This window comes from Homo sapiens, chromosome 11 (genome assembly GCF_000001405.40).
Source record: "Homo sapiens chromosome 11, GRCh38.p14 Primary Assembly".
In the NCBI taxonomy this organism is placed as follows: Eukaryota; Metazoa; Chordata; class Mammalia; order Primates; family Hominidae; genus Homo; species Homo sapiens.
This window is the reverse complement of record NC_000011.10, coordinates 70,869,721-70,884,648: the sequence shown is the minus strand read 5'-3', so window position 1 is coordinate 70,884,648 and position 14,928 is coordinate 70,869,721. Positions and strand designations below refer to the sequence as shown.

At 52.2% G+C, this 14,928-nt stretch overlaps 1 protein-coding gene and 1 non-coding gene across 21 annotated transcripts in view; both read left to right on the top strand.

The window, feature by feature from the left end:
- SHANK2 (SH3 and multiple ankyrin repeat domains 2) overlaps window positions 1–14,928 on the top strand; it is a 785,381-nt gene that overhangs the window by 368,586 nt on the left and 401,867 nt on the right. The gene's annotated exons all lie outside the window — the stretch shown is intronic.
- On the top strand, window positions 12,281–12,379 carry MIR3664 (microRNA 3664). Its single transcript, NR_037437.1, has one exon. It is a non-coding gene; the product is annotated as a microRNA 3664 (primary transcript).

Sequence of the window (14,928 nt, the reverse complement as noted above, 5' to 3'; positions counted from 1 at the left end):
GGACACCGTAGGCAGGGAGAGGTCTGTCCCAGAAGACCCAGTGCAGTTTCAATGGTCATTCCCTTCCAATCCGGTCACCATGAACCCCAGAGCTCCTCCAGCAGCTGGGAGATGCTCAGCCATGGGTCGGGTGTGGTCCAAGGCAGGGCTGGCTTCCAAAATAGTCAACAGCTCTTAGGAAAGTTCCAAACCAAACAAAGCCCATGCTGTCTTTCATTGCATTCCTGGAAAATTCGGGGAGTATTAAAGCTGTGCAGATTTGTGTGGTGTTTCTAAGTAACACGCAGGAGGTTGTGCAGATAAACAGATTTTGCATTTGTCTGAACATCTGGTAGGTCACTCACAATCCCTAGGGGCCCGTTCCACGCATTGCAGGACTTTAGCCTGTCTGGCCCCTGCCCACCACGTGTGAGAAGCACCCCCTGACCCCGTTATTATCACAGCCCCGAGCCCTCTCTGGTGGGGTGGATGCCAGCCTGGTGGGAAACACTACTCGGGCATTCACAGGGTGTGCCCTGGTGCACTGGCCTGAGCCAAGCATGGGCTGGTGCATTCTCCTCTTGCTCTCTGCATCCATTCTCCCAGAAAGTTCCTCCCTTGCCCCTGAGCGCCACCCACCCCTGCTCCTGGCTCCCTGCAGATCTCTGTTCCTACCCTTCTGAGACCGAGGACTCTGGCCCAGCAGGTTGGCCTCTGGTTCCTCAGCTCTGACTCCTGCAGAGGGCTGAAGACCACCAAGGTCATGACCAAGGCAGATTCCTCCTTCCTGGTCCCCTCTTGTAAGGTGTTCCCTCCGTGCCCTGCCAGCATCCTCAGCGCCTTCTCCCCTTGCCTGGGCCTCCCCAGCCCTGCCTGGCTTTCAGGGCACATGTCCTAGCCCAGGTGGAGGCCGGGTCTTGTTTCCACGTGGTCTTGCCCACCCCTTCTCTGTGCCTCCGGCGTGGGTCCAGGAGGGTGGTGAGGTGCACCCTGGGGGCTTTCCCGGGCCCCCTAGTTTTGCTCTGTCCTGCTCCACACCGCAGCACACCCTCTCAGGTGGGCTCCCGGAGTCCTGTGTGGCCTCTGCCCCCTTTCCCAGCCCCCTTTGTTCTCTTGGTCTGGTCCTGCCTGCTCGGGTCAGGTTCTGGATTGTCCCTGCCCATGTCATTTCTCCACATGGAAGCCCTGCACCAGGTCCAGGGGTCAGGTGGACCAGGACTTTGTGCCATAGCTGAGGAGCTGGACTTTTGGCTGTTGGTTTCCTACAGATGGAGGACATTTATGTTATACCTGCCGTAGGTATCAGGGTGGGAAGGCTGAGGCCAGCATTAGGGGGTGCTAAATCCCAATGGGGCATAGAGTCAGGATGGCTTCCCAGAGGAGGAGGCAACTGCTGCCTTGATCTGAGCAGCAAAAATAGCTCCTGTGCCTTCAGCCCTTTCAGAGCCAGGCCTGGGCTCAGTGCTCAGTGCTCAATCCTAATGACAGCCCTGTTAGGGAGGCGCCTTCACTGCCCCGTTTTCGGCGCAGGAGGATGAGGATCCTGGAGCCCAGACACTTGACAAGGGTCCCCAGGGTGGGGATGCAGCTGGGGCTGGAACCGACAGCCCTGACTCCGGAGCCGCCCCTTCACTCCTGCTAAGGCTGCCCATAACACTGCTTCTCTCTCTGCCACCTTGACCTCTGGGACCCTGGCTCCTGCCCTCCCCTCCCACAGGCCGCAGGCAAGCCCGCCCTCACCTCCACCTGCCTCCTGCCTGCCCTGCAGTTTGCTGTTCACCTGCAGCTGTTTCCTCAGGACCTCCCCTCACTCCTGCAAAATCCACACAGTTCTGCCCTCCTGGAGGACCAGGCCAGCCGCTTGGCTTCCTGTGCTCGCAGATGCTGGGCCAGCGTGGACAGATGGCACAGAGGTGGCCTTTCCTGTGGACATGAGGATAAGCCACTGCCGCCTTTTAGCAAAGCCGTGGGGATCACCGTCCTCTCCCTGCACCGCCACCCCTCACCCCTGTGCTCCTGGCTGATTTTGCAAGCAAGTTTTGGGGTCTGCCCTACCTCTGACCTAAGCCTGCTTCTGCACAGACTAGCCCAGCTGGCCCCTGCTCCTGTTCTGTGACCTATTAATGACAAGGTCACATGTCAGCCTGCAGCAGTGACCAGATACTGCCAAGGTAAGGAATCCTTGGCAGCTTCTGTCATGATCTTTTTCACTGGGCCATTTTATCAAGGAAAATCAATTTCCCCATCACTCTGAGATATGTATTAAATCCCTTGCTTGTAGGCTATAGAACTGGTTCCCAGCTCCTAGCTACAGGCACAGCCCAGGGGCCTTTCTGCCTGCCTTCCACACTGCAGTGGCCCCTCTCCCGTCCCACCCCGGAGCTCACCAGGCCTGGAAACACTTGGTGAATGGGCCGAGCAGAGCCACCCGTTCTTCTCTCCTCCACTTCCTTCTCCCTTGCTCATTCCTTCCCTTTCCCCACTCCCTCCCTCCTCCTCCTCCTCCATGCTGTTTGTCTCACCTGCCAGCATCATGCCAGTGAGTCACCCTTTAACCCTGGTCCTCAGTGTGTCCCCCTGGGGGCTTGGGGAATTCACACTGATGTTTTCCGCCTCTCTAGCAAGGGTTCCCTTCCTGCAAGTGAATTTAAGGATCCAGGCTGGGTGTGGTGGCTCACACCTATAATCCCAAGACTTTGGGAGGCTGGGCTGGGAGGATCCTTTGAGGCCAGGAGTTTGAGACCAGCCTGGGCAACTTAGCAAGACCCTATCTCTACAAAAAATAAATAAATAATTTGCTGGGTGCAGGAGGCTGAGGTGGGAGCATCACTTGAGCCTGGGAGTTTGAGGCTGCAGTGAGCAGCCACAGCCATGATGGGGCCACGGCACTGTAGCCTGGGCAACAGAGCAAAACCTGGTCTCTTAAAAAAAAATAAAATTAAAGCCAAAGGATCTAGTATACTCAAAAGAGCTCTGGAATTCTAGAACTCTGTGCTCACCCATCCACCTGGGGAGAAAGATTATTGGGATCTACCCAGAAGAGGACAATCCAAGCCCCCTGGAGTTTACTATTATTATTATTATTATTATTATTAATATTATTATTAATATTATTATTATTGAGACAGGGTCTCCCTGTATTGTTCAGGCTAGTCTTAAACTCCTGAGCTCAAGTCATCCTTCTACCTCAGTCTCACAAAGTGCAGGAATTACAGACATAAGACACTGTAACCAACCCCATTAGCCATTGTTTTAAGATTTGTGTCTATCTTGTACCCCTGATTCACCCACCTGCTTCATGGTGAAGCTGTAGAAAGACTCTTGGCCAGGCAAGGTGGCTCGCACCTGTAATCCCTGTACTTTGGGAGGCCGAAACTGGAGGATTGCTTGAGCCCAGGAGTTCAAGACCAGCCTGGGTGAGATGGTGAGACTTCATCTCTACAAAAATTTTAGAAAATAAAATAATTAGCCAAGCGTGGTGGTGCAGGCCTGTAATCCCAACCACTCAGGAGGCTGAAATGGGAAGATGGCTTGAGCCTGGTAGTTCAAGGCTGCAATGAGCTATGATCGGGCCACTTTGCTTCAGCCTGGATGACAGACAGAGATTCTGTTTCTATTAACAAAAAGAAAGACTCTCAAGGTGCTTCCAGAAGTAATTGTCGTTCAGGGTTGGGATGCCCAAAAGTTGGTGACCCCAGGGAACACAGACTCAGAATGTGAAAGGGTCCTGGGAATCTTGGCAACCCCTGCTTAGTCTCATGACTCACAGACCCAGCGAGAAATCCCCCTTGGAGATTCTGCACCTGAGCAAATGTGGCTGATGGCCCTGGGAGCTCTATCCTCTCAGGATGCCTATCCACAGGTGGCAGCTGGGACCCTAGCCCCTTCAGTCCTCCTTGTTCTATGGAGGGAAAATCTATGCGTCAGTGGGGCAGAGGTTCTGGTGAGGGTACACAGACTGATGGGAGCAGACATCGTGTTCCCCAGCCCCAGCCCAGGGTCTCCCCATCCCAGCATAGGGCACAAGCCCAGGGGTGGGCGAGGAGCAGAGAAGAGTCTTGACTTCTGTGTTCCATGGGCACATGCCCCTGGCCTCACAGAGGGGGCATGCCCGCTTCCAGGTGACTTGAATGGAAGTCTCAGAAGCTCCTAATTCTGAATGGCTCCACCTGCCTCTCCGGCTTTCTCTTTTCCAAGCCCCTTCCAGGCAGCTCACAGGCAGGAGCTGTCCCTGCCCCATCTTTCAGTCCTCTGTTCAGGGTGTTCCTTTTCTCAGCGCACCTCCATCCATCTCCCCAACTTTCTTCGTAGACTCTTCCAGCAGCCCCCGAAGCCCGGTCTCCTCCCCAGCTGACCACAGCCCTTCTTTCGACCAGGATGCCCGATTAGTGCACCTGCCTTTTCACATTTAGAGTTATGGCTGGCTTCATAGACATCAGGGTGCATGTGCTGTTTATACCCAGGCTAACCAGGAAGCTCAGAGTAGACATCAGGCTGCCCAGGTTATCTATGCCCAGGCTAGCAGGTGAGCTCGGGATAGACATTGGGGTGCCTGGGCTAACTATCCCAAGGCTAGCCGGGGAGCTTGGAGCCCTGGCAGGCACAGCACCGGCCCCTGGGCCTCGCACTGGAGAGCTGCACAGCATCTACCACTGAGTGGGCCACAGCACAGCACAGTTGCAACAGCAGGGTCCTGAAACTCGGAGAAACATCTGGCTACCCTCAAAAGCCAGGAAGCTCTGTCACCATTCCTGGGAGAGGCCTGGGATCCCTGTGGACTCCGCTTTCCCTGACTCCTTGCTTGTGCCCTTCCCTGGGGAGTCCCTGGCTCTCCAGGCCTGGAAGCAACTGCAGGAAGCCAGCCGAGGCCCCATTCAGCTGGTGCCAGGAGAGAGGGTCCCACCGCCGGTGTCCTGCTGTCAGAGCCCATCGATCCTCCATAAGCCTGGGAGGGGGGCCCCGCATGGCCTTTGGGGCAAGGGATTCAACCCCTGAATTTCTAGCCACTGGCATTGGAGTCAGGAAATAGTCACAGAGATCTTAATTTTTGTTAATATGCAAAAGCACCTGGGTATTGGAGCTGAAGAAAAAGCGTTTGACCAAATCCCAGAGGGACGAGGGTTCCAATCCGGAATTTTCCGTGTGGTCTTGGACCAGCCACGGCACCTCTCTGAGCCTCAGAAGCCACCACAGATAACAACCTCTCTCCCTCACCACTCCCTGCATTTGAGACCCTCTTTTGAGCTGAGCCCGAATTCAGACAGAGAATCGAGAGTCCTTTCTTGAAGTGCCTTTTGGGATTTCAAATATCGGAGCCTCATAAGAATATGCTGGGTAGAATTAAATTGCACAGAGGAAAGGTTTCTAATTCTGGTTCTAATAAGCATAAGTGAAAAGACGTTATGGAGGCTTCAGACAGAAAAGGAAGAACTTGTACGCATATGTACCTAAGTGCTGTTGCTTTTAGCCAAGCCAGAAGGGACACATTAAACAGCTAATGAAGCAGCAGCAGTTCATGGGATTCTGGTCCCCAATTCTCCGTGGATCCAGGTGCCAGATGGAGGCATCAGTATACCCTCGTCCTTAGGACCACCGGGCACATGGGCTGCCCTGACCAAGGAGTCCACCAAGATGGGGGCAGCTTCAGGAAGATACGTAGCCTCAGGAAACATTTTCCTTCCCCAGGACCAGACTTCAGGATGTCCCCTGGGGGAGAGATGGTAAAGGAGAAGTCACATGACCTGGAGGGGCAGAGAGTCTGGCTGGAGCTGGAGGTGAGGGCAGGGAGCAGCCTCATTCCTGGCCTTAGACCAGATCCTTCTCCAAAATCGTTCAGCATTCATTCATGACCCTGGAACAAGCTCGTAGGAGTTAGTGGGAAGGGAGCTGCTTTGAGCCCTGGGTAGCGCAGCAGAGAGCTTGTCAGGGTCCCTTTTGATGGAGCAGGAGGAAGTTCACCTCTCATGGCAAACTCATGGACTCATTTATCAAGTAGAGGCTGAAAAATAAGAACAGATCCCATTCCAGTCCTCTGCCAGTCCCCTGTCCAAGACCACCCCCGAGGAAGGCCGTCATGGTGGTGCCCTGAGTTGGGCAAGACCATTGGCTTAATAGGCAGGGTCCAAACCCACCATGCAGCCCGAGGGAGGTCCCTGGGTTCCTGTGGGTTGAAACGTGGCTTTCCATGATTTCTGAGCATCAGCCACAGCCAATTAATATGGTAAATTGCTCCAGAAAGCAGGATGGGGAATTCCCGTGTGATGATGCCCTGTATGTTTGTTCCGAATTTTCTCCCTTCTATGTGGAGGGGAAGTTAGGGCTGCATTGAGAGGTGTGGCCCAGTGTTAGGGTCTAGACCTTGTCGAGGTCCTCCCAGGGTCCTGCCTTTGGAATGACTTGGTCATCAACTCCCAATTCCCAGTTCTCCATGAATATTCATCTGCATCCCAGCTCAGCAGGAGGGAGCTGCGGCTTGGTTTTGTAAGAGAGATGTGGATGGGGCAGCCTTCTGCAGTGCTGACTTCATCCACAGAGCGAAGGCCATAAAGGCGACACCTTCCTTCCTGTGTCTGGGACCCCCAGTGCCCTGCTCCTGAGGCCAAGTCAATGGCGGCTGAGCCATTCTCAGAACCGCTGACTCTCCCTCCTGCTTCTCTGCATTCTTCGCCGGACTCACGCTGCACAAAGGCAGGTGTTAACGTCTTCTCTTTTCCCCAGCACACCCAACCAATATGGCTTCTGCCACCTGGTAGGTGCTTGACAAATATTTGTTGAGTCAATTGCTGACTATTCAGACCTGTTCTTTCCTGGTGCAGGAGAGAAACAGCCACTTTCTCCGCAGGGAATATTTATAGAATGTGCCCGTCTATCCGTGTCTATATTTGGCTTCCCTCTGCTTGGCCTCAGCCTTACTCCTTGAGTAAGTAAGCTTCTTACTCCTTGTTGCTCTGGCCAGAGCTTCAGGAGTCCAGCCAATGACATGGCTTTGGGTATCAACCATCCTTGAACCAATCACAGTGGCCAAAGGTGTTCATGTTCTATCCCCTCTATCAGGCCCTTGGTAGAGTCCTGGGGAGTCTCGGATGTGTACAACCAGAGCTGGTGAAGTAAGGAAAGGAAATGCATGACCCAAGAGGGCAGAGTTCTGCTGAAGCTGGTGGGGAGGGCAGGAGCCGGGATCTCTCCCTGAAATCACGGTGGCTTCATTCAGTTCCAGGCAGCCAGCAGGCAGGGGAAGGGTGTTCTGCCAAAGAATAGAACAGCAGAAAGTCAGGCGACGTATGCCGGCAGACCCAGTGGCCGGTTACTATAGAAATCCGGCCCAGGAAGCCTCTTGGCTTATGTGAGGTCACAGGCTGGCCATCGGCATAGGGTGAGGGCTCTGCCCAGGCCTCCTGGCCCTGACCCTGGCTGGGGCCCTCGGAACACCTGCCTGCTCTCAGAGTTATCCAGCGAGCGGGGCACAAATTACATGTTGATGCGTTCCAAAAAGAGGGGAAAATAATTCAGAACACCATTGTTGCTCCTTTAGTTATAAATTATCCGTATTCTTTTTCTGTGTCCTGAAGAGAAATAAAAATATCAGTGAGGAAGAGATGGGAGGAAATTGTGTGGCTGGGACAGGAAGCAATAGTTACTCCTTTCTCACCAGGGCCATGTGTGTGTTCCAGCTGTTAGAATCTCACCGGGTCTCAGTCCCTTGTGGAATTCTCCAAGGTCCAGGTGGTGAGGCCCTTTGTTGGCCAGTGTCCAGATGGCCCAGGCTGAGAGGCAGTCACGGGACCAGAGTATTGGAGTGGCCACTAGACAGGGCGCTCTGCCTCAGCATGCTGGCCCCTTCTGATGGAACATCCCCTACCCCACCGTTGCTCAGAGCATTTCACGAGACTCGACTCTGCGCTCAGCAGCAGCCCTGTTATTTCCTGCCTTCACTTGCACAGACCCTAGAAGTGTTGTCACCTGCTGCAGCCCACATGGATGAAACACTCCTCTGAACCTCAGCTTCCCCGTTAATGAATCAACATGCAATATATGCATGTGTATGCATGTGTGTGTGTGCGTGTGTGTGTGTGTGTGTGTGTATAATTTTTTTCTTTTTTTTTCTTTTTTTTGAGGCGGAGTCTCACTCATCACCCAGGCTGGAGTGCAGTGGCGTGACCTTGGCTCACTGCAAGCTCTGCCTCCCGGGTTCATGCCATCTTCCTGCCTCAGCCTCCCGAGTAGCTGGGACTATAGGTGCCCGATACCACGCCCAGCTAATTTTTTGTATTTTTAGTAGAGATGAGGTTTCACCGTGTTAGCCAGGATGGTCTCCTCTCCTGACCTCGTGATCTGCCCGCCTCGGCCTCCCAAAGTGCTGGGATTACAGGCGTGAGCCACCGCACCCAGCCAAGTGTGTGTGTGTGTGTGTGTGTGTGTGTGTGTGTCTATATGTGTGTGTGTGTATTATGTATATACATGTGTGTATATTATGTATATACGTGTGTGTATATATGTATATATAATTTTTTTTTGAGATGGAGTTTCACTCTTGTTGCCCAGGCTGGAGTGCAATGGTGTGATCTCGGCTCACTGCAACCTCCACCTCCCGGGTTCAAGTGATTCTCCTGCCTCAGCCTCCCAAGTAGCTGGGATTACAGGCATGCACCACCACACCTGGCTAATTCTGTATTTTTAGTAGAGACGGGGTTTCTCCATGTTGGTCAGGCTGGTCTCAAACTCCCAACCTCAGGTGATCTGCCCACCTCGGGCTCCCAAAGTGCTTGGATTACAGGCATGAGCCACTGTGACCAGCCTCTTTTTTTTTTTTTTTTTGAAACAGTGTCTCACTCTGTCACCCCAGCTGGTGTGCAGCAGTGCATTCACCGCCAACTGCGGTCTCGACCTCCCAGGGCTCAAATAATCCTCCCACTTCAGCCCCCCAAGTAGCTGGGACCACAGGTATGCGTCACCACACCCAGCTAATTTTTATATTTTTGTAGAGACGGGGCTTTCACTGTGTTTCCCAGGCTGGTCTCCTAGGGTCAAGTGATCCACTTGCCTTGGCCTCCCAAAGTGTTGGGATTGCAGGCGTGAGTCACCATGCCCAGCTCCCAGACATGCAATATTTGTTGTTGTTGTTGTTGTTGTTGTTGTTGTTGTTGTTTGAGACGGAGTCTCACTCTGTCTCCCAGGCTGGAGTGCAGTGGCGCAATCTCGGCTCACTGCAACCTCCACTCCCGGGTTCACGCCTTTCTCCTGCCTCAGCCTCCTGAGTAGCTGGGACTACAGGCGCCTGCCACCACGCCTGGCTAATTTTTTTTTTGTATTTTTAGTAGAGACGGGGTTTCACCAAACATGCAATATTAATGCTTTATCATCATGTTCCGAAAGCAGAGCTCTACTGGGGGCGGAGTGAGTGACGCTGTCTGCCCCAGGTACACGCAACAGGAGGGCACTTCTATTGCTTCATCTGGAGAGAATTCCAAATAACAATAAAGCCAGCTAAATGTCCCTTCCCTTTTAATGATCACCATGTCCCCCCGTTCTAAAAATTGCCAATGATAAAATACTCCTTCCCCCAATCGTTGGTCTAAGATCTAAGCAATTGCTACAGTTGCTGTTGAAATGTATCTGTGAACTTCAAATTAGCATCTTTTTATAATGTATCCTTTAGTGAATACCATATTCTGTATGAACATTAACTTGGGGAAGCCTGTTATAGTTACATGTGGTTCTCAGGCATGAGTGGGCTTAGCTACAGCCTTTTGACTGGAGTGAAGTCTGCAGGGTCCGGAATGGCCTGGTCTCCATGCCCTGTGATCACCATTCCTGCTATTACACGGTAGATTTGAAACAGACATGAGGGCACAGTAACTATAAAGACAAAGTGAACTCGTGTTCCTTCAGTGCTGTCATTCTAGGTAGCCACTCGGAGTTTTCATCTGTGTTTAAAATTTGAAACGGCAGTGGATGTGAACTACAAGGTGGAATTTTTTTTTTTTTTTTTTTTTTTTAGTAAATGCAGATATGCAGATTTCAATGCTTACATGAACTATTTTATTGGATTTGGATAATACCTTTAAAATTGACATTCATTCTTTCAAAATATTTGGTTTTAAAACTGATGCACAAATCAATAAAATGATGGTTATTACATGACTGTTAATGAAAATAATTTTGCCATACAGAGGAAGGGCATGTGCCTGTAGTTCCAGCTTCTCAGGAGGCTGAGGCAGGAGGGTTGCTTGAGTTCAGGAGTTGTAGGCTACAGTGAGCTACGGCTGGGCCAGTGCACTCCAGTGTGTGTAACAGAGACCCTGTCTCAATAGATAGATTAGATAGATAGATAAATCATGGATAGATAGATAGATTACATATAAATAGATTAGATAGATTAGATAGATTAGATTAGATTAGATTGGATTAGATTAGATTAGAGGGATAGCTGGATGGGTGAATGGATAGATAGATGGAGTATATAGATATGGATGGATGGATGGACAGATTAGGTAGGTAGGTAGATAGATTAGATAGATATGGATAGATGGATATGGATAGATAGGATAGATTAGATAGATGGATTGATAGATAAGATGGATGGATGGATGAATGGATGGATCTATAGGTAGATGGATAGATGGCTAGATGGAGGAATTTCTGTGTACTGTTCACATGTTCTTTAGTCTGTTCAAAAATGTACTTTGCATTGGGATGCTGCCCCCAGCCTGCCTACATCATGCCTTTTTCCTGATGACACGTGTTCCTGTCACTGACGCCCGGGAGCTGTTTTTGAGGGCAGCTTGCCCAGCGTGCTAGTGACAGGAGGCTGGTGCTAGGAATGAAGGTTATTTGGTCTTCTCACTGGCATCACTGTTTGGTATTCTAATCCCATGAGATCGTTGTAAACAATAGCAAAGTTGTTCATGAACTGGCAAAAAAAAAAAAAATGGTAAATGGAGGAAGCAATGGCTGGCTGTGAGCAGGGGACGCACTCAATGTCCTTTGCAGAGTGAGCAGGGTGGATTAAGTGGTTGCTGCGGGCTCTGGCCTGTGCTGCCATCTTTGCAGTGACCCTGAAGAAGAGAACTGCCCCAGATGGGACTGTGGAACGTCTCTCCTGAAGAAGCCCCGAAAGGGTGTGTGGCAGCCGCTCCTCCTTCATGGGACCACTGCTAGAAGGTTAGGGATCCCAACTGCCTCACCTCTGGGCAGCCCCTCCTCCTCCACGGAACTGCTGTTGGAAGGTTAGGGATCCTGCCTGCCTCCCCTCTGCTGTTTCCCATTTCCTGTTTGCCTATTGAAAGTGTCTGGGGCCGTTGGGCCCTCCTGTCTCATGAATGGGTGTGATTCCTGGAAGCCCTGCAAGTCTCGACCTTGTCAGCTCTCACCTGCCCTCCTCTTCCTCATGGGTTTTGTCAGAGGATGTTAATGCCTTCCAAGCAAATTGTATCAAATGCATTTGAAAGGCAAAACTCATTGTTTAGTGTCTGAGAATAGCCTCTGAGTGCTGGGATGCCACGGTTGCTGTGGCAACGGCTCTTTGTTTTAGGGAACCACAAACATATCATTCTATAAACTGCAGGGCCCAAGCTGCAGGTTTCACCTTCCTGAGGGTCGCCACCCGGGAGGCAGAGGCACCAGGATGGACGTGGGAACTACCTCCGCTCTTCCTTTCTCACAGGTGCCCAGGATGTCTTTAGCTTTTGTAATGTTTGGGGCTGGGGGAGGTGGAGGTCATGAGTGTGGGGAGAGGGCAGACAGTGGATATGTGCTCCTCCTGCCCCGAGGAGCTGGGCTCTACAGGGCATCGTGGGGTCCCTTCCTCTTAGCAATCAATGCCATGTTCCACTGTGGCCCCAGACTCCAGCACCAAGCAAAGCAGCCCCCACGACCCTTAGGACAATGAGGGGTGAAAATTGCCACCCATCAGTTTTCAAGTGGTCAGTGTGGAGGAAAACAGGGACCCGCAGGTGGCCAGAACGTGGAGGAGATACACCAGGGAGCCGGAAGTAATGTGGTCCAGGGACCCATCTCTCATTCCACGTAGCTCACGGACCTGTGTGCCCCTGACTCTGGTCTGTGGGGGGCCCCTCTGTATGGGGGCCCCCTATTCCCTCCATCTGAGGGTCTCTCTTCCCTCCATCCAGCCACTTGGTCGTTTGCACCCACTGTGTCCACCAAGCGCTTCTAGGGAAGGGTCTTGTCCTTTTTTCTCCCCGTCCCGCCGAGCCTCCACCTCCAAGCCTGCATCCTACTTGTCTTTCCTCTTCATGCGTGTGGGGTTTTTTTCCCCTCCTTTCCACTGTGCACCCCGTCTCCTCTGTAAACTTGAAGGTAGGGAACTCTGTCTTCACTCATGAGTACCTTCCAACACGAGCTCTCAGGAGTAAAGACAGAGTTCCCTACCTTCAATGTGGATCTGCAAAAAGATCTGAAAAGCGAATGCCTTCTCCGTAGCTCGTTGGCAGTAGTACTTGACCTGAACTGATTTGAGGCTATTTATAGTTTTTATTTATCCTACTTAGCATGATTATTCATCCGTGCCCTGAAGGACTCCTCCCGCAATTGGCAATGGGACACTGCCCAGACCCACTGGCGGTGTGACGTAACAGGCCACACACGCATCATCCTACTGCTGCAGAAGCAGGCAGCGTGCACATGCCAAGGCACCTCTGGCTCTGGTGTTCAGGGATGTCGTCGTGGGGCTGTATTTGTTGAATGAACAAGAGTTCTTAATCCAAGAATAATGCTGGGTTTACCTTTCAAGTAGTTCAAAGGCTTCTTTCAAGACGGTGTTGTTATGGAGGATGGGATGCGTCTTGCCTTAAATATTAATAGAAATCGTATATGGAAATCTCAGACGGCTTCAAAGAGTCTCTCAGTCAAATTCAGATGGGGACTGTGCCTCTTTCCTGGCTGTCCCCTCCCAGCCCCCATGTGGCCACAGTTTGCTGTAAAACCCTGCAGGGCCCCTGAGTACCAGGTGTGTCTGGCCCGTGTTGCCTTTCAACATGAACTCTTTCTTGACTTTCTTCTCCATCAGGGATATGGTCATATTTATAATATTTGTCTCGACCTCACTTTCCTTTCTCTCCCTGCCCTGCTTGTTCAGCAAATGTGTTGGGGAATCCGCAGGGTCCCAGGCACAGCCTCTCCCTCCAGGGGCTCACAGGCTCCATGGCACACAGATGTGGCCTCAGCACGTGAAGGAGGCTCAGTGCCAGGCTATGTGGCTCATCTCAGAAGGTGGTGTGGCCCCAGGTTCTGTGGTTGCCCTTGCTCTGCTCTCTGCTCCCCACCCCCGCCCATCCTGCCCTGCTCCTATGGTGCCAGTGATCTTCGGGGCTGGTGGCTTGCAGAGCGCTCCCTGGACCTCCTCTTGGACCCTCAGACTCATCTCCTGCAGAGCCTGCCACCAGGCGAGCCCAGACCCCTGACTCCCCTTTGAAGTGTGTCCCTGCAAATGCATATGTTGAAGTATCACCCTGAGGATCTCAGAGTGTGACCTTGTTTAGAGGTAGGGTCTTTACAGAAGTCATCAGCTGAAAATGAGGTCATTAGATTGGGCCCTAATCCAGTAGGACTGATATTCTTATAAAAAGAGGAAATGGGACCGGGTGCAGTGGCTCATGCTTATAATCCCAGCACTTTGGGAGGCTGAGGCGGATGGATCACCTGAAGTCAGGAGTTCGAGACCAGCCTGGCCAACATGGTGAAACCCCGTCTCTACTAAAAATACAAAGATTAGCCGGGCGTGGTGGCGGGTGCCTGTAGTCCCAGCTACTTGGGTGGCTGAGGCAGGAGAATCACTTGAATCTGTGTGGGCGGAGGCTGCAGTGAGCCGAGATCGTGCCACTGCACTCCAGCCTGGGCGACACAGCAAGACTCCATCTCAAATAAATAAATGAATGAATGAATGAATGAAATGTGGCCACAGCCATGCACTCGGAGCAAACCTCACACAAAGATGAAGGCAGAGCTCTGGGTGATGCTTCTGTCAGTCAAGGAATGCCAAAGATTGCCTACAGGCCACTGGGAGCTGGAGAGACAGGCCTGGAACAGAGTCTCCCTGCAGTCCCCAGTGTGAACCCCCCCACTGCCAACACCTTGACCTCAGACTTCCAACCTCCAGAACCATGAGACAATTCATCCCTGTGGTTTCAGTCACCCAGGCTGTGGTTACAGGAGCTCCAGTGAACATACCCCATCTTTCCTGGCCAGCTGGCCCTTCCTCCTGGGCACCCCATCTCAGTTATGGCCCAGGAACTGAAAACCCAAAAACCTTCCTAGATCTTTCCTGGCGCTCACCTGCCCTTTTCCCATCTGTCCAGAACCAGCCCCTTCCACTTTTTCTATTTCCTGAATCTGCCCCTCCCTCCCCACTGGTTGGGCTCTCATTTTGGCCCAGATGGACTGCAGGAGGGGACGGCTCTGGGTCTCACCCCGGGTTCATTTCTCTCAGTCCCCTGGAACGAAGTGGAGCACACTCTGCCTGGGTGAGCCTCCAGCACTCAGATTCTGCTGCTGTGCTCATCCTCAAACCTCTTCCATAGTGCCCTGGGCCACACTCTCTTTATAAGGACACTAATTATTGGATTTAGGACCCTCCCTAATCCAGTATTACCTCGTCGCAACCTCACTGATCACATCTGCAAGGAGGCAATGACCCATTTCCAGTTAAGGCCCCATTCGTAGGTTCTGGGTGGACATGGATTTGGGGGGACACTCTTGTGGACTTTTGTGAGGGTTTCTGGGTGTGTGAGAAGGCAGAGCCTGGGGAGCTTCAGGCAGAGGGGAGGCATTCACATAATTGGTGGTGAGGTCCCTGCACTGACCCAGCGGCGACTGAGCACCCAGTGCGGCAGTAAGTGACCACAGTGTCAGTTCTCATCCCATCTTCCAACAACACCACCATGGACTCCCCGTCGAGCCCCCTGTCTGGGGGAGGACAATCAAGGAGATGATGGG